This window comes from Homo sapiens, chromosome 2, assembly GCF_000001405.40.
Source record: "Homo sapiens chromosome 2, GRCh38.p14 Primary Assembly".
Taxonomy (NCBI): Eukaryota; Metazoa; Chordata; class Mammalia; order Primates; family Hominidae; genus Homo; species Homo sapiens.
The window spans coordinates 43,524,876-43,550,760 of NC_000002.12; the positions used below are offsets into that span (position 1 = coordinate 43,524,876).

Below are 25,885 nucleotides of genomic sequence, written 5' to 3' on the forward strand. Positions count from 1 at the left end.
ACTGTACCATTCAACCACAGTTATTCAAAAGCCTCTGTCCTTAGACCTCTGTTCTTTTTTCCTTTCATGCTCTCCACCAAAGACTGCAATCTTACTATGATATTTTTGGAGAAAACTCACAGATCTACATCTCTGTTTTTGTTATATCACCCAAACTAATCCCCTATCTCTAACATCTGACTTAAGTATTTCCACCAGGGTATGCCATCATTATCTCATACTCAACACATAAAAAACAAAAAAACTTACTCATCTTTATCAAACCATTCCCTCTTTCAACTTCCTTTGTTTTGTTAACATCAACCCCATTTGTCTGGTGACCAAGACTTAGAATCACAGAAGCAACCATGAACTCCCTAGTAACCTCTACTATTCACATTCAGTTGGTTCATGTGGCAGATGGCGTTTTTCAAAGATGGCTACCACAACATCTCCTATCTGCGTATACTTCTACAATATGATCTTGCCACTTTGCTGTCAAAAGGTAGACTGAATCCAGGCTGGTCCTAAGATGCACTTAAAATCAAAGGAATGTGACTAAAGCAATGCAATGAGACTTCCAAGGCTGGGTCAGAAAAGAGCATACAGCTTCTGGCTGATTCTCTTGGAATACTCTCTCTGGGGGAAGCAAGCTGCCATATAAGAATTTCAACCCCAAGACTACCATGCTGGGGTGAGAGGCTACATGTAGTCCCAACTAGGCCCAGCCTTCTAGCTAGTCCCACCAAGGTGCCATAAATGCGAGTGAAGTTGTCTTAGGTCCCTTGTGACCAGTTCATCTGCCAGCTGAATGCCACCAACTGAACTCAGTAAATACCCTAAGGAAGAATCACCCAGCTGAGCCCTGCCCAAATTGTTGAGATACAAAACCATGAATGTAATAAAATGTGTCCACAGCTTTCCTTCTAAGCATACATCATGTGAGGAGTTGTTACTATCTATGTGGGGACAAAAGTTAACTAAAACCCCATGTTTGTCTCTATTCCCAGAGCCACCACCCAAGAGGAAGCCCTCATCACCTCAGATCTACTTTGTTATAACTGATTGCAGGCTCTCCTTACTATAATCTGTATTACAATCTATCTAACCTAACATTTCCAACCAGAAAACTGCTTTTACATGCCAACCCCACAACCAACATCAATCTCATGTTTTAAATTTGTAGGAAATTCTATAATGCAAAGAGGTCTTCTTAAATATCTATTTTATTTGATTCATACAACAAAAGCCAGAGATCTGTCAATAGGGCAAATACCCTTTTCCTTAAAGATGAAGAGATCAAAGGTTAGGGAGGTTAATTTTTGTACAATCTCATTGCCAATAAATGGAATGAATATACACAGAACTAAGAACCAGAGTCACAGATTACTGGTATTCCTCCATTCTATGATGCCTCCTATGATCTATTTCAGAGCAAAAATGTTTGATGCCTCTCTCCATCCCTGCTACAGTAAATCTATTTCCAAGACACTATAATTTGGCCTCAATCTATCAACTTGCCTGGTTATTTCCTACCAACTCCACCACTACAGGAAGGAGGTTTATTTATTCACCTTGCTGATTCTAGCCTCTGAACATTTACTCACAATGTTTCCTTCTTTCAACTCATGCATTAGCACAAATTCCACCTCTTCCATGAAGCCCTACCAGCCTATCCCCATTGCTTTCTCTCTCTGCTATTCCTATATGTTTTATAAATTTCACCCAAAATTTGGCAGTTTTATCTTGTTCAAGTGTGTCGGTCTTACTTCCAGGCTGGTAATCAGTCCACACACATCCACACACAGAGAGATGCTGGGTGCTGTATACAGCCAGTGTTGGTTCTGACCAGTCAGTGCTCACAACATACCTTTTGTTAAATATTTTGAATTTCATCTCTACTTATTTCTCAAACTAAAACATAAGCTCTTTAATAACAGGAACTTCATCTTATAAAAAAACCATAATATCATCCAAACCAAGCACAGTACTAAGCACACTGCTGGTATTCATACATTCTTGTTAACTGATTTGATAGGAGTGGAGTGTGTTGTGTTTTGAGGGAAAAAAAAGTTCATAAGTCATATCTACACTGGAAACAAAAAGTTGAAAAGATAAAATATTTTCAACATCAGCAGTTTAATGTCAGGGACTTTTTAAAAAGTATCATTTAAAGACATTCTGTGCAGCCCATAACTGCCAAAATGTTTTATAAATGTTTTTACCAGGCATGTGAAAAAAAAAGTTTCAAAAATATTCAAGGAATAGATGTCTTAACAGCCTAAAATAAAATGTTTGCTGAGGCTACAAGGCTGGCAGAACTCTGCTTCATTTCAAAAAGTTTCCAGGCAATGGAAATGTTTTCCTGGAAAATACTACCTTTTATTTAGAGAACACTTGCCATGAACACTTAGTCATTAAGTAATTTAAGGTTTCCCCACAAGCTCTTTGGAGGAAATCTATTATATGAATGAATGAAATTATCTGTAACTATAATGTCAAGAAATACATTTGGTTAAATATATGAAATCTATCTAAGTAGTTTTCCAGGTAAAAGGAAAAAAATATTTTCTACTTTTCAGTCTACTTACTGTTCTTTTAAACTTTTCTATACGATAAAATTATGAAGAAAAAAACCAAAATCCTTAAGTGCTTCTGTAATACAAACCCCAAAAATTGCAAGGCCTGTTTTATTCCAAACACCAAGTAATTTTCAAACAGACAAAACATTTATTTCATTCAATAAAAAAAAAACAGTAATTTCAAAGCTATTTTTAGCAAAATCTTTGAGTTTGCTTCAAATCACCTTTCAATGACAGAATAATAACTCAGTTTGGACGTTTCAATCAGTTATCTGCAGTAAATCATACAATGAAACCTAAGAAAACAATTTCTTCCAAGAGTTTTGTAGTCAACCAGGTCTTATTCTTTTAAACTTCAAAAGACACAACTAAATTCTACTCCAAGCATATGCTTTGTATATTTAGTCTTTTTAAAACGTACACAAAAGGATATTTGTTTTACCTGTTTAGTACTTCAGTGAGTTTCACAAAACCAGTATAAGCCAATTCAAATGCTCCTCTGTGCCTGGACTGCAAAAGGTGTTGTTTAAAGTAATCTCCTATTTCTTTTACCTTTAAAAAAAAAGCAAAAACAAATGTCCGATTTATGTTTACATTCGCAAGTGTATTTATATCAGTAACACTGTTTAGAACCCAGGTCTAGGGGTCCATTCATTTAGCGCTTACCATATGACAGAACATGTTTTAAGCTTTTTTTTTTTTTTTTTTTTTTGAGATGGATTTTTGCTCTGTTGTCCAGGCTGGAGTGCAGTGGCACAGTCTCAGCTCACTGCAACCTCCACCTCCTGGGTTCAAGTGATTCTCCTGCCTCAGCCTCCCAAGTAGCTGGGATTACAGGCACCTGCCACCACGCCTGGCTAATTTTTGTATTTTTAGTAGAGATGGGTTTCACCATGTTGGCCAGGCTGGTCTCTAACTCCTGACCTCAGGTGATCTGCCCACCTTGGTCTCCCAAAGTGCTGGGATTACATGCGTGAGCCACTGTGCCCAGCCATTTTAAGTATTTTTTTTTAACAATAGCTCATCTAATCCTCACAGTAATTCCATGAAATAAGTACGATCATTATCTCTACTTCACAATTGGAAAACTGAGGCCAAGAAAGGCTAAGAAACTTATCCAAGGTCAGACAGCAAGAAAGCAATGGAACCAGAACATGAAGCCAAGCAGTCTGGCTCCAGAGTTGACCATCTTTAACTGCTACACTAGAACTGCCTTCCTATGTCACATTCACAAACCTCAGTATGTTTTCTGTTATAGCTCATGTTATTCAACTCCAACAGAAAATCACACAAAGCGACAACACTCACACACATAGGTCTAGGTGAAATAATTACCTTTTTTCCTTCTTTTAAAATTTTTTTTCTTTTTTATTGTGGTAAAATATACATAATATTTATCATTGTAACCCTTTTTAAATGTACAATTAAGTGGCATAAGTACATTCATACTTTTGTACAACCATCACCATCATGCATTTAGAGAACTTTTCATCTTCCCAAATGGAAACTCCATACCCATTAAAAAATAACCCGTATTACCTTTTAGAGACATAAAATTGTTAATGACAATGCAAGATGTGGTGCAAAGGACCTCCTGAAAAACTACTAGGCTTCACTTCAAGACAGAACCATGGAATTTGCCAGAATGTCACCCAGTGGCTTTCCTACATGCTGTCTTTCTCCACACAAGATTAGACAAATAACAAATATGACTTTTTTTAAAAAAAAAAAAACAGGGTCTGGTCTTGCTTTATCACCCAGGCTGGAGTGCAGTGGCACAATCATAGCTCACTGTAACCTCGAACTCCTAGGCTCAAGGAGTTTGAGGTTACAGTAATACTCCCACCTTAGCCTCCTGAGCAGCTAGGACTGTAAGTGTATGTCACCAAACCCACCTAATTTTTTAATTTTTTGTAGAGACAGGGTCTTGCTATGTTGCCTCGGCTTAAGTACAGTGGCTATTCACAGGTGTGATCACTGTGCACTACAGTCTCCAACTCTTGGGCCCCAAGGAGTCCTTCTGCATCAGCCTCCCGAGTAGCTGTTAACTACAGGCATGAACCACTGTGGCCGGCCAGATTATTTATTTTAAAGAAAACAAAACGGACAATTCATTGTTGACTAAGGTTTTGAATAGAATTAACTTTTAAGCTGATTAGGCTTTTATACCATTAGATTTAGTAACTATTGTCTTTTAAAAATCAAGATTTTGTATAAAACTCAGGACCAAAGCTGTAACCAGCTATCTCTTGATCCAGGTCTCCCCAACAGATCACAGGATGGTAAAAGACAAGTTGTCCCAAGATATCTCAGATATGCTTACCTAGAAACACCTCCTATCTCAGCATAGGGACTAGATTAGTATTCTGCACACATTAGAGATGATAAACAGTAGAATAAGTAGTTAAACATGTCATCATGGGCAAGTATCTCAGTTTCCTCATCCATAAACTAGAGATAATACCAGTATTTAGGACACAGGTTGTTGTATTAAAATAAGTAATAAACTGAAAAGCTCAGAACAGGCCCAGAACCTATAATCCAATTCAGTTCAATATGAGTTCTGACTAGGGTTCTAAATAGAGGAAAACTAAAGACGTAATCCACACTCAAAGTACATCTGATTATAAAGATATAATAAGTGATACACATGGAGAAACAAGAATCAGATAGGAGACTAACAAAGAACCAAAAAAGCAGTATATAATAATTTTTTTAAAAAAAATTCTAACTCTTTAGTATCCCAAAGAGTGACAGGTCATGTTCTTCAGTTAGTTTTCCTGTAAAGATCTGATGATACTCTTGATTTTAGTATCTTTTAAAGACCACATACTACCAGTTGTCAAGAGCCACAGTCAGGTAAGCCTTATTTTGTCTTCAATGTGGTAATTTCAGAGCATTGTTTGAACAGAATTATCAAGGCTTAAATCCGAATTAAACCCCTAAAATAGGGCTGAAGCCCGATAATCCTATAAAATAAGTAACTCATGATAGCCAGCTTAAAAAAATAATACTAATACAAAATAAGGACTAGAAGAACCACCAGTTAGCTTATTTGTAATGACCATCATTTCGATTATTAGAGAAACAAGAGATTTCTAAGAAGGTACTTAAAGACAGAAAATAAAAACAGAAAGTCAATGAGATGAGGTTTCTCTAACTTCCTTAATTTTTTTCCCAAAATGTTGCAGATATTAAAACATACTTCAGGAAAACATAAACTTTGTCATTACTGACAAAGTGCTTCTCTGTGGATTTACAACAGTTCATAATTTACTCCTTAGGCAAACATCAGATTTTCATTGCTTCCTTTATTCAAACTCCCTTCGAAGAGGTCTAAAACAAAAAGCATATAATAAAAATCAAAGACCTCAGAAGTATGACCAGTGGGTGGTCTTCTCAAGGATGGACCTCAACCCTAGGTATTCCTGGGCACAGAAAACAGATTGATGTTCTAAGGACAAAACTGAGATATAGGCAGTTTTTCCTTTCATTTTGCACTTAATAATTTCCGAATAAACCCACATAGCTAATACCTAGGCTTATTATCTTTTTTCCTTTTGAAGATAATGTAAAATTCCTGTTAGATAACAGTCTTTCTTTAGCACCATGTAAAATGCTTCACAGCTTAATGCTGTGGTAGATAGAAAAGATGAAAACAAGATGCCTGTCCTCAGCAGGCTTTTAGTTCACTTTGGCAAAGAAAACCAACATGCTGTCTGGTGTCCATTAGAAGCATAAGTTCCAAAAAATGAAAGATCCTTTTGCACTGGAATAATGAGAAAACACTTCACATCCAGAACTTGAACAGGCTATTACAGTACTTGGGTGGACCAAAATGAAAGAGGGTAATTAACATGAGAAGAGGCTGGGAGACTAGAATGAATAGACCAACACTAAATAAGTGCGTGCCAGCTACCTGCCAGATACTTTGCTAGGTCTTTTCATATCAATGAATGAGCATACACAGACAAGGGTAAGTAAACCTGGCTGAGTGACCTAGAGGTTTCGTGCTAGAAAACAGTAAGGACAAGGCTACAAGGAAGAGAAGAATCCGATTACAAATGACTAGTGGGCTTGGCAGTGTAGTCCATGAGCAGCTGAACAGAGAAGAAACACACCAGGCTGACAGCCTCCCAGTGGATAATCAGACTACATGAAACAGACTTAACTCAAACCACTTACAAAATTAATAACAACAAAATCAGAAACAATTTCAAAATTTGATTTTTAAAATGAAAATCTCTGAATTTTCACTTTAAAATGAAAACCTCTGAAAACTCCAACTCAATTGCCTATTAGATACCACTGAGTTTCTATTTAAGGTTCACAAAATGGATAATGGATGTACAAAATAATTTTTTAGAGGTAACTATTAATTTTTATTGCATTTCTTTCTAGTCTTTTCCTTTTTTTCGACTCATAATTTTTTTAAAAAAACCTCTTAGCAAACTTGGAAGAGACAAAAACTTCCTTAACATCATAAAGAATACCTATAAAAACCCAATAGGCAAACATCACAGACAACAGTGTAGGGTTTTTTTTTTGGTGTGTGTTTTTTTTTAATCCTCTTTAAAATCAGGAACAAGATAAGGGTTCCTACTGTCACAACTTCTACTGAATTCTGTTCTGGAGCCCCTATCCAGCACACTAAAATAAGAAGAAATGAAAAGTGTAAAAAAAATATGAAAGAGGCCAGGCACGGTGGCTCATGCCTGTAATGCCAGCACTTTGGGAGGCTGAGGCTGGTGGATTGCCTGAGCTCAGGAGTTCGAGTCCAGCCTGGACAACACAGTAAAACCCCCGTCTCTACTAAAATACAAAATACTAGCCGGGAGTGGCACCATGCGCCTGTAGTCCCAGCTACTTGGGAGGCTGAGGCAGGAGACCCGTTTGAACCCGGGAGGCAGAGGTTGCAGTGAGCCAAGATTGTGCCACTGCACTCCAGCCTGGTCAACAGAGTGAGACTCCACCTCAAAAAAAAAAAAAAAAAAAAAAGGATGGTTCAACATACACAAATCAATAAACGTGATCCATCACGTAAGCAGAACCAATGACAAAAACCACATGATTATCTCAATAAATGTAGAAAAGGCCTTCGATAAAATTCAATACCCCTTCATGCTAAAAACTCTCAATAAACTAGGTATTGATGGAACATATCTCAAAATAATAAGAGCTATTTATGACAAACCCATAGCCAATATCACACTGAATGGGCAAAAGCTGAAAGCATTCCCTTTGAAAACCGGCACAAGACAAGTATGCCCTCTCTCACCACTCCTATTCAACATAGTATTGGAAGTTTTGGCCAGAGCAATCAGGCAAGAGAAAGAAACAAAACCATAAAAACCCTAGAAGAAAACCTAGGCAATACCATTCACGACATAGGCATGGGCAAAGACTTCTTGACTAAAACACCAAAAGCAACTGCGACAAAAGCCAAAACTGACAAGTAGGATCTAATTAAAGAGCTTCTGCTCAGCAAAAGAAACTATCATCAGAGTGAACAGACAACCTACACAATGGGAGAAAATTTTTGCAATCTATCCATCTGACAAAGGTCTAATATCCAGAATCTGCAAGGAACATAAAAAAATTTACAAGAAAAAAACAAACCACCCCATCAAAAAGTGGGCAAAGGATATAAACAGACACTTCTCAAAAGAAGATATTTATGCAGCTAACAAATATATGAAAAAAGCTCATCATCACTGGTCATTAGAGAAATGCAAATCAAAACCACAATGAGATACCATCTCATGCCAGTTAGAATGGTAATCATTAAAAAGTCTGGAAACAACAGATGCTGGAGAGGATGTGGAGAAATAGAAACACTTTTACACTGTTGGTGGGAGTGTAAATTAGTTCAACAGTTGTGGAAGACAGTGTGGCGATTCCTCAAGGATCTAGAACTAGAAATAACATTTGACCCAGCAATCCCATTACTGGGTATGTACCCAAAGGATTATAAATCATTCTACTATAAAGACACATGCACACATATGTTTACTGCAGCACCATTTACAATAGCAAAGACTTGGAACCAACCCAAATGCCCATCAATGATAGACTGGCTAAAGAAAATGTGGCACATATACACCATGGAATACCATACAGCCACAAAAAAAGAATGAGTTCATGTCCTTTGCAGGGACTTGGATGAAGCTGGAAGCCATCATCCTCAGCAAACTAACACAGGAACAAAAAATCAAACACCACATGTTCTCATTCATAAGTGGGAGTTGAACAATGAGAACACATGGACACAGGGAGGGGAACATCACACATCAGGGCCTGTCGTTGGGTGGAGGGCAAGGGGAGGGAGAGCATTAGGACAAATATCTAATGCATGCGGGGCTTAAAACCTAGATGACAGGTTGATAGGTGCAGCAAACCACCGTGGCACATGTATACCTACGTAACAAACCTCACGTTCAGCACATGTCTCCCAGAACTTAAAGTAAAATAAAAATTTAAAACAAAAAACTCTTGTTTGCAGGTGACATTATGGACATATAATCTACAAATAATCCACAAATGATTAAAATAATAGAGTTTAGTAATATGGATGAATATAAGATAAATATTTAAAAAGCAGTTGTATTTTTATAGCCCAGCAAGATAAAGTTCAAATATGTATTTTTTATAAAGATGGATTTACAATAACATCAAAAATTAAAATGCACCTTGAAATAATAAAGACATGTAAACCCTTTTATGAAGACAGATTTTTTAAAGCATTTTTAAAAATTCTTTTTCATTGACAAATAATTATCCATATTTATGGGGTACACAGTAATGTTTCAATACATATAATAAATAGTGATCAGATCAGAATAATCAGCTTATCCATCATTTCAAACACTTATCATTTCTTTGTGTTAGGAACATTCAACATCCTGCTTCTAGCTATTTGGAATTATTAATATATATATATTATTGCAAACTATAGTCATCCTACTGTGGTAAAGAACACTAGAGCTTATTCTTCCTATGTAGCTGTAATTTGGTATCCTTTCACAACTCTACCTATCTCCACCCTCTCAACTACTCTTCCCAGCCTGTAGTATCCTCTGCTCTAATTTTTACTTCGAGTTCAACTTCCACATGTGTGAGAACATGCAGTGCTTAATTTTCTGTTCCTGGCTTATTTCACTTAACATAATGTCCTCCAGTTCCATCCATGTAGCTGCGAATGACAGTATTTCATTCTTTATTATGGCTGAATAGTATTCCACTCTGTATATATACACCACATTTCTTTACCCATTCATCTGTTGTTGGACACCCAGGTTGATTACGTACCTTGTGTATTTTGAATAGTGCTGCAATAAACATGGGATTGCAACACTATTCAATCAAGGGGTTGCAGCACTCTATCTCTTCAATATACTGATTTCCTTCTCCTTGGATAAATGCCTAGTAGTGGGATTGCTGGATCATACGGTATTTCTATGTGTAGTTTTTAGAGGAATCTCCACACTGTTCTCCACAGTAGCTATACTAGTTTACACTCCCACCAATAGGGTGTAAGAGTTCCCTTTTCTCCACATTCCTGCCATCATTTGTTATTTTTTTGTCTTTTTGGGAACAGCCATCCTAACTGGAATGAAATGATATCTCATTGTGGTTTTGATTTGCATTTCCCTGATTTGTGATGTTGAACATTTTTTCATATATTTGTTCGTCATTTCTGTTTTTGAGAAATGTCTGTTCAGATCATTTGTCCTTTTTTTTTTTTTTTTTTTTTTTTTGCTGTTGAGATGTTTGAGGTCCCTGTACATTTTGGACATTAATCCTGTCAGATGAATAGTTTACAAATTTTTTTCTCCCATTCTGAAGTTTATCTTTTGGCTCTGTTGTTTCCTTTGCTGTGCAGAAGGTTTTTAGTTTGATATAATCCCACTTACTTTTTGTTGTCTATGCTTTTGAGGTCTTATTTATAAAAATGTTTTCCCAGGCCAGGCGGTGGCTCACGCCTGTAATCCTAGCATTTTGGGAGTCCACGTCGGGCAGATCACCTGAGGTCAGGAGTCTGAGACCAGTCTGGCCAACATGGTGAAATCCCATCTCTACTAAAAAAATACAAAAATTAGCCAGGCAGGGTGGCACATGCTTGTAATCGAAGCTACTTGGGAGGCTGAGGCAGGAGAATCGTTTGAAGCCAGGAGGCAGAGGTTCATCTAAACCCGAGACAGCGCCACTGCACTCAAGCCTGGGCGACACAGCGAGACTCAAAAAAAAAAAAAAAAAAAAAAAAAGAAAAAATCTTTTCCCAGATCAATGTCCTGAATAAATACCACTATTCAAGTAGTTTTATAGTAGTCTTTACCATTTATTGTTTTGAAGGTCTTTTATCCATTTTGAGTTAATTTCTGTTTTTTGTTTTTGTTTGTTTTTGAGACTGACACTCGCTCTGTCACCAGGCTGGAGTGCAGTGGTGCGATCTCTGCCTCCTGGGTTCAAGCGATTCTCCTGCCTCAGCCTCTCGAGTGGCTGGGACTACAGGTGCACACCACACGCCCAGCTAATTTTTGTATTTTTAATAGAGACGGGGTTTTACCATGTTGGCTAGGATGGTCTTGGTTTCTTGACCTCTTGATCCGCCCGCCTCAGCCTCCCAAAGTGCTGGGATTACAGGCATGACCCACCGTGCCCAGCCTATTCATTTTGAGTTGATTTTTGTATAGAGTGAGAGGTGGGTCTAGTTTCATCCTTCTGCATATGAAGAAAGCATACTCAGTTTTCCCAGCACCGTTTATTGGACAGTCCTTTACCCAATGAGAGTTCGTGGAGCCTTTATCGAAAATCAGTTGGCGGTAGATACATTAATTTCTGGGTTCTCTATTCTGTTCCACTGGTCTATGTGTCTGTTTGTACACCAGTACCACACTTTTTTGTTGCTACAGGTTTGTAGTATATTTTGAAGTCTGGTAGTATGTTACCTCCAGCAAAATAATTTTTAATAACATACATCTCAGGATTTTTATAAAGGAAATTAAGATCAAAGTGAAAGAAAAATACAGTGATTTCTGTTCTTAAAATTTAAAGAACAGAAATTTAAATTCTAATCACTTGTCTTTTTAAAATTAGCATATCCTGCTCTTAACTTTTCATAAAAAGTATCTCTATAGGGAAATTAACATGTTTTATGGACTCACAGGGTATAAATTTCCACAGGGGAAGAAGCTACATGCCATGTTTCCAGGCAGGTATAATTCACCAACAGACTAATTAGGGGATCTAAATGCTCATCTAAAGCATAAAACCCATTAAAAAAAATATAAATATATTTTAAATCTACCCTTTATCTAGAGAAGGTAAATTCTGAAATGTACTACTAACGCAAAGTAATTAAACACAGTTCTTTTACTTGTGAAATGGAGCTAACACTAGAACCTACTTCACAGGATTATTGTGAGAAATAAATAATAAGATTATGCATTTAAGTGTTTATCAGAGTACCTGGCAAAGAGTAGCAAACAGTAAATGTCCATTTTATTTTTATTTTATACTATAAAGTAGTGAGCCTTAATCCCTAAGCCTTAATTTGAATTCTGACTTTAAGACACAGCCACTTCTAATTTCACTTTGGTTAAACGGGATGTTTTACAAAAGTTTACACTCCAGTAAAACAGTTAATGTTTTAAACTGTACCTTCTCTCCTACAGTGATTTGTTACTAACTTTTGGGATTTCTTCAAAGCTCAAACACTGTTCTCCTACAAAACAACAAAGGTAATAATTTTCTACCACTCAGATATCATCTTACCAGAATGTTTATTCTTTGCTTTCTAGCAAATTCTTAACCATGGGCAATATTAACTGTTGCCCTGTAGTCTGACTTTTTAAAATGAATTTCTGTCTGGTATCCTCTATTGTATTTCTAAGCCCTTTGACGTCACAGAACCACATACTATGTACTTCTTTATTTTCCCACGATATCCTTGTAGTAAGGCAGTCAATAAATAGGATGTGGTTACATGCACAACTTCATTTCAAAGCTTAAAAATGGGAACTTGCATTGAGTGCAATTCAATGAAATTATTTGTAATTTCTAAAAAATAAACTTTGGCAAAAGAAAATACAAAAAGCAATTTAAGACTTGTGAATAAACATATATCCCATTTGTAGTTCATTACAGAAAATCTAAAGTAATAACAAAAGACACTACTGAGGGAATACATCAATGTAGTTAACTCTGGGCATCATAAAAGTTACAACAGAATCTAACATACAATTTTTAGACCGGGCATGGTAGCTCATGCCTGTAATCTTAGCCCTTTGGGAGGCTGAGGTGGGAGGATCGCTTTAGTCCAGGAATTCAAAACCAGCCTGGCAACATGGTGAGATCCCGTCTCTACAAAAATTAGCCAGGAGTGGTAGCACACACCTATAGTCCCAAATATTTGGGAGGCTTAAGCCCAGGAGGTTGAGGCTGAAGTGAGTCAAAATGGAACCACAGCACTCTAGCTTGGGCGCCAGAATGGGACCCAGACTCAAAAAAAAAAAAAAAAACTAAACTAAAAAAGAATGTTTTAAAATAGCAATTTCTAATAGTTGGCAATCTTACTCGTGTGATTTCTGTGGCGATAATTACTGCAGAGGGAAAGCATGAATGAAAAATCTACCTAGTAGTTTCTTTTTAAGAATATTAGGGAAATACATATAAACTTAAGTTCATATAGTACTCCAGGTGGAGGAAGCTGTTTTAAAAAATCAGTAGGCACTGGGTATCAGATAGCCCATGAAAAGAGAACCAACAAAATATAACAAGCAAAAGCTCTACATCAGCAAAACATCAAGTTTGAAAACTCCACACACATCAACTAGTCAGGAAGTTGTGAGATAAGGTTGTGTGTACTGCTTACTCTTGAAGGGTCTCCACTTACATCCCTCAAAGTTGGTTTTATCTCTGCCTCTTGTACAGGAACACTATGAAAGAACCTTTCATTATGTGATTACAGTGAAGGAGGAAAGTCAGACATGCCTCTGAATGAACACATTTTCCTCCTGGAGAAACTGGTGACAGCACACTGCTTCACAGGAAGTGCTCTAGGGAATCAATCATTTAAGAAAAAGTTCAGTAGCAAGTCATCTTACTGTCCTGTTGCTTGCGAAAATTTACCTGGATATGGGAAATACAGAAAATTAAACTTAAAGAAAAATTAAATGAGCAGCTCACAAAGGCAGCACTGTGCCATGTCAGAACACAGGCTGGCAAGGAGAAGAACTGGGTTCCTGTTCCAGAGCTGCCACAAACTAGCTTTGCAATCTTGGGCAAACCAGGTAACATCCAGGGTTCAGCTTCCTCTTGTCCAAGAGAGCTGGATAATATCATCTCTATGATCCTTCCAGCTCTAATGGTTTGTGAATATATCACTGAAAACTCAGAATTATAAACAAGCCCCATTTCTTCTCCCCACACAGCAACAAAAAACCCCAAACTGTAATCTCCCTACCTTTTATACTCCTATATGGGGGATTTAAGTGGCCACCGGTTTAAACAAGGAGCTGTAAAATCAGGATGATTTTAAACGGACTGTCATCTACATTCAAGTCATCAAATTTCAAAATAGAATAGAATTGTATTTTAGACTGTATGGAATGGCTTTCTTCATCCATTGAGAGAAAAGTAGATCACAGTTACTACTCTGAAGAATAAGAAATGCAAGTTCCACATTCTCCCCTCTAACTAGGGTTGCATTCTGCCTGCAAGTCACTTCACTGCCTCCGTGTATTCAGACGGCAGTCACATTCACCTAAGGCTTGACTCTTAAACTCATAGTTTTACCACTAGGCACAGATCTAGCTTTGCCAGGGCAACTATGCTCTTGGAAGGGTGTACCTCAGGTGTGGCCCAGCCATTCCAATGTAAATGATGTTCTTCTCTGTCATTTATATTTTTAACTCTTAAAGGTTTTAAGCACATGTAAGTATATTTAATTATTATTAATTTAAAGGAAGTTCATGGGGCAAAAGGTTATGTTTAAAAGCAGGAATTCTCCAGTAATGTAAATAACACTAATTTCTTGATGACTTTGGATTTTTATTGACTCCTAAACTGAGACATTTCTTTAGCTAAAGTCAGCAATACGAAGAATCAAGTTTTTCATAGGGGACGGGGTTCCAGTGTTAGAACACTGCTATTACATATACAGTTCATCGCTCATTCAGTCATCAGTTTCTTCTCACGCCTATGTATGTGAGGTTACCATGTGAATGGCAACATAGAAAAATGACTGGACCTCATTACAACGGAAACTAATGTTTTACAGAAAAACAGTCAGGATCTTATTTTTTATTTAAGCAGTCACTGGAAGAATTCTTTGGTTTATAAGAACCTGTCTTTTTGTGATAATTGTTTTTTTTTTTAACAAACATCTCTTATTTTACATTAATTCCCAATTTTAACACGGCTGTCGCACACAAATTAAATACATAAGATTTGGGTGCTATGTGAAAAGTGTCAAGGCAAAATAATGTTCATAGGAAGCTTTCACGTCTTAGTTACAGTAAAAGCAAAATACACTTCCCTTAATTTGTTTTTTAAACACTACCCAACAAACCCAAAAAACTAAATGTTTTAACTTGTCCTTGGAAAGAGAAGTTGGGAAATCAAAGGCCTCTAGCACATGTTTACTTCTTAGCAAGATGGTGAACATCAGTGAAGTAATCATTAATCATAGCTGGATTCCTCAGCAAAGATGTTGGCATTGGCACTACAGCCAGTCACCAGCAATGACTGCAAGTAACTCTAGGACACTGACGCCTATTTGATTTGGAAGAGAATAAGGAACATAATGATGCCTGAAATGTCCTGTGCGCCTTTGCCTTTCTTCATCTCAAGGCCTTGCAACATCACAAGCGCAGCTGTTAACCAGATGCATGCAACATAAGCCACAGAGTGTGAGAAAAAAAGTATTAGCATTATTTCCATGGAACTAGTCATGTGGTTATTATAGAAATAATCAGCATTAGCATACTACAATATTTGTTTTGTTCTTGAATTGTAACACCCTAGGGAAAAAGTTGCCTTTATTTTTAAAAAGTTAAAAATGAAAGTACATGTTATATATCTTTGCTGAAAAATGGTGGGAAATGGATTTGTCAAAACCATATGGAAAGGAAGAGGGAATCAATTAAAAACAGAAATCTAATAAATCTAAAATATTTCCAAATGAAATGCTTGTGGTAAGCTAACTTCTTGTAAACACCGCACTCAAGTCACTTGAACAGTCCCAGATGGTGAACTAACTTTGTGGTCTTAAAACAAAAGTCAGCCAAAAAAACCAAGACTACAACTTTATTATCAATGCAGTGGGAAACATGAGATCCATAATCAACCAACATGTTACTTTTTTTCTTTCCAAAATTTAAGAGATTTGTGGAGTTTTACTAAATAAGACAATTTTAAGCTAAAGTTTAAGTCTGTGTATGTGAAATGGAGAAATAAAAATTAGAGATAAAACTACAGTTAAAAGTGAGGTAAAATCTACAGTTATTTATATACCTTAGAAAAAATTTCTAAAAATGCCACAGTTTTGAAATGTATTATAAAGTCTAACATTCTAAATTACCATGAACTTTCTTCAGTTAACATTTGTATGATTTTATTCAAGAAAAATTTTAAACCTTTTTTTAGAGTTGGGTTATAAAAAAAAAAGTGATTTATGCGTTGACCAGAAATTATACATGGTGGAATAAACATGTGCCTTACCTGCTCCACCGTCAATAATCCATCAGAAGATTCTGGCACAGGCTGCATGGGCAGAAGCTGGCACAACATGCCTAAAAGTAAAGCAACTTCCTTCATACTTCTCCAACAACATACCAGCACCATCTGCGCAGTTACATCACATGTTTTTACTTCTTTACCTTAAACAAAAAAAAACACAACGATTGCAACCTTGATTACTCATATCCCAGGTTTCTAAAAACAAGCTTATTCATAATTTCCCCAAGAATAATCTGCTTGAACAAACCCGATTTGTCATGTTATATTTACTCAGAAGGAAAGAAGCTAACATTTGTCGAGCATGTGTTATGAGAAGAAATCATGCTAAGTTTTTTTTTTTTTCTTTTTTGGAGACAGGGTCTCGCTCTGTCACCCAGGCTGGGGTGCAGTAGCATGCTCATGGCTCACTGCAGCCTTGACCTCCCAGGCTCATGCAATCCTTCTACTTCAGCCTCCCTAGTAGCTGGGACTACAGGTATGCGCCACCACACCCAGTTAATTTTTGTATTTTTTTGTAAAGACAGGGTTTCACCACATCACCTCCTGGACTAAAGCAATTCTCTCGCTTGGGCCTCCCAAAGTGCTGGGATTATAGACATGAGCCACCATGCCAGGCCCAGTATTTTAATTTATTATTTTCAAATTAAATTTTAAAATAAAACACAATATTGTTCCAAAACTTGTTTAATCTTTAATTTCCAAAGATTAAACAAACTCTGCCTCTCTGTCATAAAGTATGATATGGATGACTATAATAAATACACTCCTTATTTATTTTGGTGAGCATGACTGTTGCATTAGTAAAGGAGTAGAATATAACTTTTAAAATCAAAGGAAAATACAAATTATCTTTCAAAATATATTTAATTCCCATGGCCAATAAGCTATAATTAGCCTTACTTACTCTCTTATTCTAGTTTTAGGAGTATTTTTGGTACTGATATTTTTTTAAAATCCAAGATGAACTATTATATTAAATAAAAGAGCACGCTGACAAAATGGTACTTATAGGGTAACCTCATTTGTGTTTTTATTTAAAAAGCCCAATGCATTAAATGGGTAAGTGTACATACACATAAACATATAAAATAAGTACAAAATAATATATTGCACTAAAGAAGGAAGACATGGAATTGGAGAGGAAACCTTGGAGGAATTTAATTTGTTTTTAATTCATATGTACCTCTGTTGTTTGAAACTATTACAATAGGCTATAATTACATTTATACATTATTTTGTGTAATTTAAAAATTTAAGTGTGGAGATAATTTTTTGCAAGACAATATCCCCACCTAGTGGAGAATGTAGAATATGTAATACATCACTAAGAAATTGCTGCTTCTGATGACGTTTTACAGCACTGCAGAAAATTCAGTAACAACTAATGATCAAACAAGATGTAAGAACTCGAATTCTGGAAGCTTGACACAACAAAGCAGCTCCCATTTTACTAATAAGGTTTGTTTCCTTTAAAAGCCTGCTTGACTTTAAGAACTCTCACAGCAGACAATGAACCACATTGCTGGGAGAAGTTGATTGCTGCCCAAACCCAGGTTCATTATATAGCACTGCTCTTATATCACCTGGGCTGTCAAGGCAGGTTTTATCACTCCAAGGCTTTCTGTTCTAACAGCTTGTTCGCTGCACAACAGCACCTAATAGGCTGGTGAAAGTCTTCTTTAATTTAATTTAATTTTATTATTATTATACTTTAAGTTTTAGGGTACATGTGCACAATGTGCAGGTTAGTTACATATGTATACATGTGCCATGCTGGTGTGCTGCACCCATTAACTACTCATTTAGCATTAGGTATATCTCCTAAAGCTATCCCTCCCTCCTCCCCCCTCCCCCCACCCCACAACAGTCCCCAGAGTGTGATGTTCCCCTTCCTGTGCCCATGTGTTCTCATTGTTCAATTCCCACCTATGAGTGAGAATATGTGGTGTTTCGTTTTTTGTTCTTGCGATAGTTTACTGAGAATGATGATTTCCAATTTCATCCATGTCCCTACAAAGGACATGAACTCATCATTTTTTATGGCTGCATAGTATTCCATGGTGTATATATGCCACATTTTCTTAATCCAGTCTATCATTGTTGGACATTTGGGTTGCTTCCAAGTCTTTGCTATTGTGAATAGTGCCGCAATAAACATACATGTGCATGTGTCTTTATAGCAGCATGATTTATAGTCCTTTGGGTATATACCCAGTAATGGGATGGCTGGCTCAAATGGTATTTCTAGTTCTAGATCCCTGAGGAATCGCCACACTGACTTCCACAATGGTTGAACTAGTTTACAGTCCCACCAACAGTGTAAAAGTGTTCCTATTTCTCCACATCCTCTCCAGCACCTGTTGTTTCCTGACTTTTTAATGATTGCCATTCTACCTGGTGTGAGATGGTATCTCATTGTGGTTTTGATTTGCATTTCTCTGATGGCCAGTGATGGTGAGCATTTTTTCATGTGTTTTCTGGCTGCATAAATGTCTTCTTTTGAGAAGTTCTGTTCATGTCCTTTGCCCACTTTTTGATGGGGTTGTTTTTTTCTTGTAAATTTGTTTTGAGTTCATTGTAGATTCTGCATATTAGCCCTTTGTCAGATGAGTAGGTTGCGAAAATTTTCTCCCATTTTGTAGGTTGCCTGTTCACTCTGATGGTAGTTTCTTTTGCTGTGCAGAAGCTCTTTAGTTTAATTAGATCCCATTTGTCAATTTTGGCTTTTGTTGCCATTGCTTTTGGTGTTTTAGACATGAAGTCCTTGCCCATGCCTATGTCCTGAATGGTAATGCCTAGGTTTTCTTCTAGGGTTTTTATGGTTTTAGGTCTAAAGTTTAAGTCTTTAATCCGTCTTGAATTAATTTTTGTATAAGGTGTAAGGAAGGGATCCAGTTTCAGCTTTCTACATATGGCTAGCCTGTTTTCCCAGCACCATTTATTAAATAGGGAATCCTCTCCCCCATTGCTTGTTTTTCTCAGGTTTGTCAAAGATCAGGTAGTTGTAGATAAGAGTGGCGTTATTTCTGAGGGCTCTGTTCTGTTCCATTGATCTATATCTCTGTTTTGGTACCAGTACCACGCTGTTTTGGTTACTGTAGCCTTATAGCATAGTTTGAAGTCAGGTAGCATGATGCCTCCAGCTTTGTTCTTTTGGCTTAGGATTGACTTGGCAATGCGGGCTCTTTTTTGGTGCCATATGAACTGTAAAGTAGTTTTTTCCAATTCTGTGAAGAAAGGCATTGGTAGCTTGATGGGGATGGCATTGAATCTATAAATTACCTTGGGCAGTATGGCCACTTTCATGATATTGATTCTTCCTACCCATGAGCATGGAATGTTCTTCCATTTCCTTGTATCCTCTTTTATTTCATTGAGCAGTGGTTTGTAGTTCTCCTTGAAGAGGTCCTTCACGTCCCTTGTAAGTTGGATTCCTAGGTATTTTATTCTCTTTGAAGCAATTGTGAATGGGAGTTCACTCATGATTTGGCTCTCTGTTTGTCTGTTATTGGTGTATAAGAATGCTTGTGATTTTTGTACATTGATTTTGTATCCTGAGACTTTGCTGAAGTTGCTTATCAGCTTAAGGAGATTTTGGGCTGAGAAAATGGGGTTTTCTAGATATACAATCATGTCATCTGCAAACAGGGACAATTTGACTTCCTCTTTTCCTAACTGAATACCCTTTATTTCCTTCTCCTGCCTAATTGCCCTGGCCAGAACTTCCAACACTATGTTGAATAGGAGTGGTGAGAGAGGGCATCCCTGTCTTGTGCCAGTTTTCAAAGGGAATGCTTCCAGTTTTCGCCCATTCAGTATGACATTCGCTGTGGGTTTGTCACAGATAGCTCTTATTATTTTGAGATACGTCCCATCAATATCTAATTTATTGAGTTTTTAGCATGAAGCGTTGTTGAATTTTGTCAAAGGCCTTTTCTGCATCTATTGAGATAATCATGTGGTTTTTGTCTTTCGTTCTGTTTATATCCTGGATTACATTTATTGATTTGCATATATTGAACCAGCCTTGCATCCCAGGGATGAAGCCCACTTGATCATGGTGGATAAGCTTTTTAATGTGCTGCTGGATTCGGTTTGCCAGTATTTTATTGAGGATTTTTGCATCAATGTTCATCAAGGATATTGGTCTATAATTCTCTTTTTTGGTTGTGTCTCTGCCTGGCTTTGGTATCAGGATGATGCTGGCCTCATAAAATGAGTTAGGGAGGATTCCCTCTTTTTCTATTGATTGGAATAGTTTCAGAAGGAATGGTACCAGTTCCTCCTTGTACCTCTGGTAGAATTCGGCTGTGAATCCATCTGGTCCTGGACTCTTTTTGTTGGTAAGCTATTGATTATTGCCACAATTTCAGAGCCTGCTATTGGTCTATTCAGAGATTCAAGTTCTTCCTGGTTTAGTCGTGGGAGGGTGTATGTGTCGAGGAATTTATCCATTTCTTCTAGATTTTCTAGTTTATTTGCGTAGAAGTGTTTGTAGTATTCTCTGATGGTAGTTTGTATTTCTGTGGGATCGGTGGTGATATCCCCTTTATCATTTTTTATTGCGTCTATTTGATTCTTCTCTCTTTTCTTCTTTATTAGTCTTGCTAGTGGTCTATCAATTTTGTTGATCCTTTCAAAAAACCAGCTCCTGGATTCATTAATTTTTTGAAGGGTTTTTTGTGTCTGTATTTCCTTCAGTTCTGCTCTGACTTTAGTTATTTCTTGCCTTCTGCTAGCTTTTGAATGTGTTTGCTCTTGCTTTTCTAGTTCTTTTAATTGTGATGTTAGGGTGTCAATTTTGGATCTTTCCTGCTTTCTCTTGTGGGCATTTAGTGCTACAAATTTCCCTCTACACACTGCTTTGAATGTGTCCGAGAGATTCTGGTATGTTGTGTCTTTGTTCTCGTTGGTTTCAAAGAACATCTTTATTTCTGCCTTCATTTCGTTATGTACCCAGTAGTCATTCAGGAGCAGGTTGTTCAGTTTCCATGTAGTTGAGTGGTTTTGAGTTTCTTAATCCTGAGTTCTAGTTTGATTGCACTGTGGTCTGAGAGACAGTTTGTTATAATGTCTGATCTTTTACATTTGCTGAGGAGAGCTTTACTTCCCACTACGTGGTCAATTTTGGAATAGGTGTGGTGTGGTGCTGAAAAAAATGTATATTCTGTTGATTTGGGGTGGAGAGTTCTGTAGATGTCTATTAGGTCCGCTTGGTGCAGAACTGAGTTCAATTCCTGGATATCCTTGTTAACTTTCTGTCTCGTTGATCTGTCTAATGTTGACGGTGGGGTGTTAAAGTCTCCCATTATTATTGTGTGGGAGTCTAAGTCTCTTTGTAGGTCACTCAGGACTTGCTTTATGAATCTGGGTGCTCCTGCATTGGGTGCATACATATTTAGGATAGTGAGCTCTTCTTGTTGAATTGATCCCTTTACCATTATGTAATGGCCTTCTTTGTCTCTTTTGATCTTTGTTGGTTTAAAGTCTGTTTTATCCGAGACTAGGATTGCAACCCCTGCCTTTTTTTGGTTTCCATTTGCTTGGTAGATCTTCCTCCATCCTTTTATTTTGAGCCTATGTGTGTCTCTGCACATGAGATGGGTTTCCTGAATACAGCACACTGATGGGTCTTGACTCTTTTATCCAATTTGCCAGCCTGTGTCTTTCAATTGGAGCATTTAGTCCATTTACATTTAAAGTTAATATTGTTATGTGTGAATTTGATCCTGTCATTATGATGTTAGCTGGTTATTTTGCTCGTTAGTTGATGCAGTTTCTTCCTAGCCTCAATGGTCTTTACAATTTGGCATGATTTTGCAGTGGCTGGTACCGGTTGTTCCTTTCCATGTTTAGTGCTTCCTTCAGGAGCTCTTTTAGGGCAGGCCTGGTGGTGACAAAATCTCTCAGCATTTGCTTGTCTGTAAAGTATTTTATTTCTCCTTCACTTATGAAGCTTAGTTTGGCTGGATATGAAATTCTGGGTTGAAAATTCTTTTCTTTAAGAATGTTGAATATTGGCCCCCACTCTCTTCTGGCTTATAGAGTTTCTGCCGAGAGATCCGCTGTTAGTCGGGCTTCCCTTTGTGGGTAACCCGACCTTTCTCTCTGGCTGCCCTTAACATTTTTTCCTTCATTTCAACTTTGGTGAATCTGACAATTATCTGTCTTGGAGTTGCTCTTCTCAAGGATTATCTTTGTGGCGTTCTCTGTATTTCCTGAATCTGAATGTTGGCCTGCCTTGCTAGATTGGGGAAGTTCTCCTGGATAATATCCTGCAGTGTTTTCCAACTTGGTTCCATTCTCCCTGTCACTTTCAGGTACACCAATCAGACATAGATTTGGTCTTTTCACATAGTCCCATATTTCTTGGAGGCTTTGTTCATTTCTTTTTATTCTTTTTTCTCTAAACCTCCCTTCTCGCTTCATTTCATTCATTTCATCTTCCATCACTGATACCCTTTCTTCCAGTGGATTGCATCGGCTCCTGAGGCTTCTGCATTCTTCACGTAGTTCTCGAGCCTTGGCTTTCAGCTCCATCAGCTCCTTTAAGCACTTCTCTGTATTGGTTATTCTAGTTATACATTTGTCTAAATTTTTTCAAAGTTTTCAACTTCTTTGCCTTTGGTTTTAATTTCCTCCTGTAGCTTGGAGTAGTTTGATCATCTGAAGCCTTCTTCTCTCAACAAGTCAAAGTCATTCTGCGTCCAGCTTTGTTCCGTTGCTGGTGAGGAGCTGCATTCCTTTGGAGGAGGAAAGGCACCCTGCTTTTTAGAGTTTCCAGTTTTTCTGCTCTGTTTTTTCCCCATCTTTGTGGTTTTATCTACTTTTGGTCTTTGATGATGGTGATGTACAGATGGGTTTTTGGTGTGGATGTCCTTTCTGTTTGTTAGTTTTCCTTCTAACAGACAGGACCCTCAGCTGCAGGTCTGTTGGAGTTTGCTAGAGGTCCACTCCAGACCCTGTTTGCCTGGGTACCAGCAGCGGTGGCTGCAGAACAGCGGATTTTTGTGAACCGCGAATGCTGCTGTCTGATCGTTCCTCTGGAAGTTTTGTCTCAGAGGGGTACCCGGCCATGTGAGGTGTCAGTCTGCCCCTACTGGGGGGTGCCTCCCAGTTAGGCTGCTCAGGGTTCAGGGGTCAGGGACCCACTTGAGGAGGCAGTCTGCCCGTTCTCAGATCTCCAGCTGTGTGCTGGGAGAACCGCTGCTCTCTTCAAAGCTGTCAGACAGGGACATTTAAGTCTGCAGAGGTTACTGCTGTCTTTTTGTTTGTTTGTGCCCTGCCCCCAGAGGTGGAGCCTACAGAGGCAGGCAGGCCTCCTTGAGCTGTGGTGGGCTCCACCCAGTTCGAGCTTCCTGCCTGCTTTGTTTACCTAAGCAAGCCTGGGCAACGGTGGGCGCCCCTCCCCCAGCCTCGATGCTGCCTTGCAGTTTGATCTCAGACTGCTGTGCTAGCAATCAGCGAGACTCCGTGGGCGTAGGACCCTCTGAGCCAGGTGCGGGATATAATCTCCTGGTGCGCTGTTTTTTAAGCCCGTCGGAAAAGTGCAGTATTAGGATGGCAGTGACCCGATTTTCCAGGTACCGTCTGTCACCCCTTTCTTTGACTAGGAAAGGGAACTCCCTGACCCCTTGCGCTTCCCAAGTGAGGCAATGCCTCGCCCTGCTTCGGCTCGCGCATGGTGCGCTGCACCCACTGTCCTGCGCCCACTGTCTGGCACTCCCTAGTGAGATGAACCCGGTACCTCAGATGGAAATGCAGAAATCACCCGTCTTCTGCGTCACTCCCGCTGGGAGCTGTAGACTGGAGCTGTTCCTATTCGGCCATCTTGGCTCCACCCCCCTGGTAAAAGTCTTATAAATCCATTCCTAAACCCAAATCTTTCCCAAAACAAAATTTTTAAAAAACTTTATTTTCTAGAAATGTTCTGCACAGATTTGCAACCTCTAATTTACCATATAAAAAGGGCATTCTGTACATTTTACTGGTTACTTAAACATGAATTACAGTATCCATTTTATACAAGTTACCTTTGATTTCTGTAGAAGTATCAATATTCACCACACTAGCATTCAAGTCCTTCATATCAAAGCTATCATGTTCTTTCAATATTTTGGCTTGGTTAAAATAATCATTAGTATCTCGAGGCTGAATCTCATTCAGAATCATCTGTAAGCGGCTTGCTGACTCTGAGGGAAAGAAATGAGCGTACATGAAACCCAGTAACACATCACATGCCAGATTTCCCTTGGGGATGCTTACTCAAAAAATCTATAATTTTCAATACTTAATAATCAGCTTTATTAGAAGGGACTCACAAGGTGGATAATATGAAAATTATTTATACAGTTTTCATGATGCTTGAGTGCATTTTTAAAATATGGCAATTTAGACTGAAATATAACAACAAAAAAAACTCACTGAAACTGTCCACAGGACAAAGGCCACCATGTCATCTACACTGCTTTTCTTAGTGTTGTCTAAATATCTCAAATATGGTGCTAATCATGTCAAAGAAGTGCAATAAACTTCAATAAATTTAGTTTTAAGAGGCTATTTCTCTATGAAAGAAAAATGAAGCAGGCAACAGAAAAGTAGAAAAAAATCAATATTTGATTTAAAATATAAATAAATATAAAAAATAGAAAATAGATTATTTCCCCATCATAATACAAGGTATCAAAGTTTAAAGATAGAAAGGTAAAAAGACATTTTTAAAAACCCATCAACAGCAAAAACAATCTTTTATAGGACAGGAATATCGTAACGACTCCACAACTTTGAAACACATTATGTAATATACTGCTTTCTAATTATGATTTACAGTCTTCATATTACATTAAGTTTCATTTTTATTCCCTAAGCACTCACTGGATTAGGAAATGTAAGCTCCATGAATGCAACACTTTGTTCATTACTGAGTGACGAGTGCCTATAACAGAAACTGGCTCACAGCAGAGGTTCAGGAACATGAGTTGAAGGAATGAATGGATGTAGGTAGTAAGGAGTTAGCCAGGCTCAGATTTTCAAAACTAGCCATTGGTAATCATCTGAAATCAATTAACAAATCGAAGAACCGGTATTTATTGTACATCTATTATTTTGACTTATATTTAGGTACTATGGGAAATACAAACACGCAAATTACTATCATGATGATTCAATCAACATCTTATGTTCCTTCCTGGAATTTTGTCAAAAATAAATTTCAACAGCCATGAAAAACTAACAATGACCCCAAAAGAAACCACGCAAAGACCAAGAAAAGATCAGAGAATAAATTTTTAAGAATCCTATCCATTCAATTTTACAGCTTTCAGGGGAGACTTTCCTCATGCAATTCAGAATGTATGGCAGATAACACAGGGAAGAAGCAGCAAAAATGAAGACAACCAGAGGTAAAAAGACAGGCAGAATGAAGGAAAAGTCTGTGGGGCAAAGACAGTTTTTGAGACCAACTGATACCTTAAAACTCTTCACTAATAAAGATAATGTTAGCATCCTCTGTAGGATCTACCCACAGTAGGTAACAGAAATATTCAAGATTTCTCATCCAGAATATATGGGTACTTTGCTGACCC

At 37.7% G+C, this 25,885-nt stretch overlaps 1 protein-coding gene across 7 annotated transcripts in view; it reads right to left on the minus strand.

The window, feature by feature from the left end:
• Positions 1-25,885, minus strand: part of THADA (THADA armadillo repeat containing) — a 365,188-nt gene that overhangs the window by 294,025 nt on the left and 45,278 nt on the right. For all 7 annotated transcript variants that reach the window (NR_073394.2, NR_144316.2, NM_001345924.2 and 4 more), the window contains 3 exons: positions 24,335-24,493; positions 16,284-16,441; positions 3,004-3,113 (listed from right to left, as the gene is read on the minus strand). Coding sequence is in view for 5 of the 7 variants with exons in the window: in NM_001345924.2 (NP_001332853.1) it covers positions 3,004-3,113; positions 16,284-16,441; positions 24,335-24,493 (427 nt within the window). In the remaining 2 variants the exon portion in view is untranslated. The remainder of the gene's footprint in view (positions 1-3,003; positions 3,114-16,283; positions 16,442-24,334; positions 24,494-25,885) is intronic.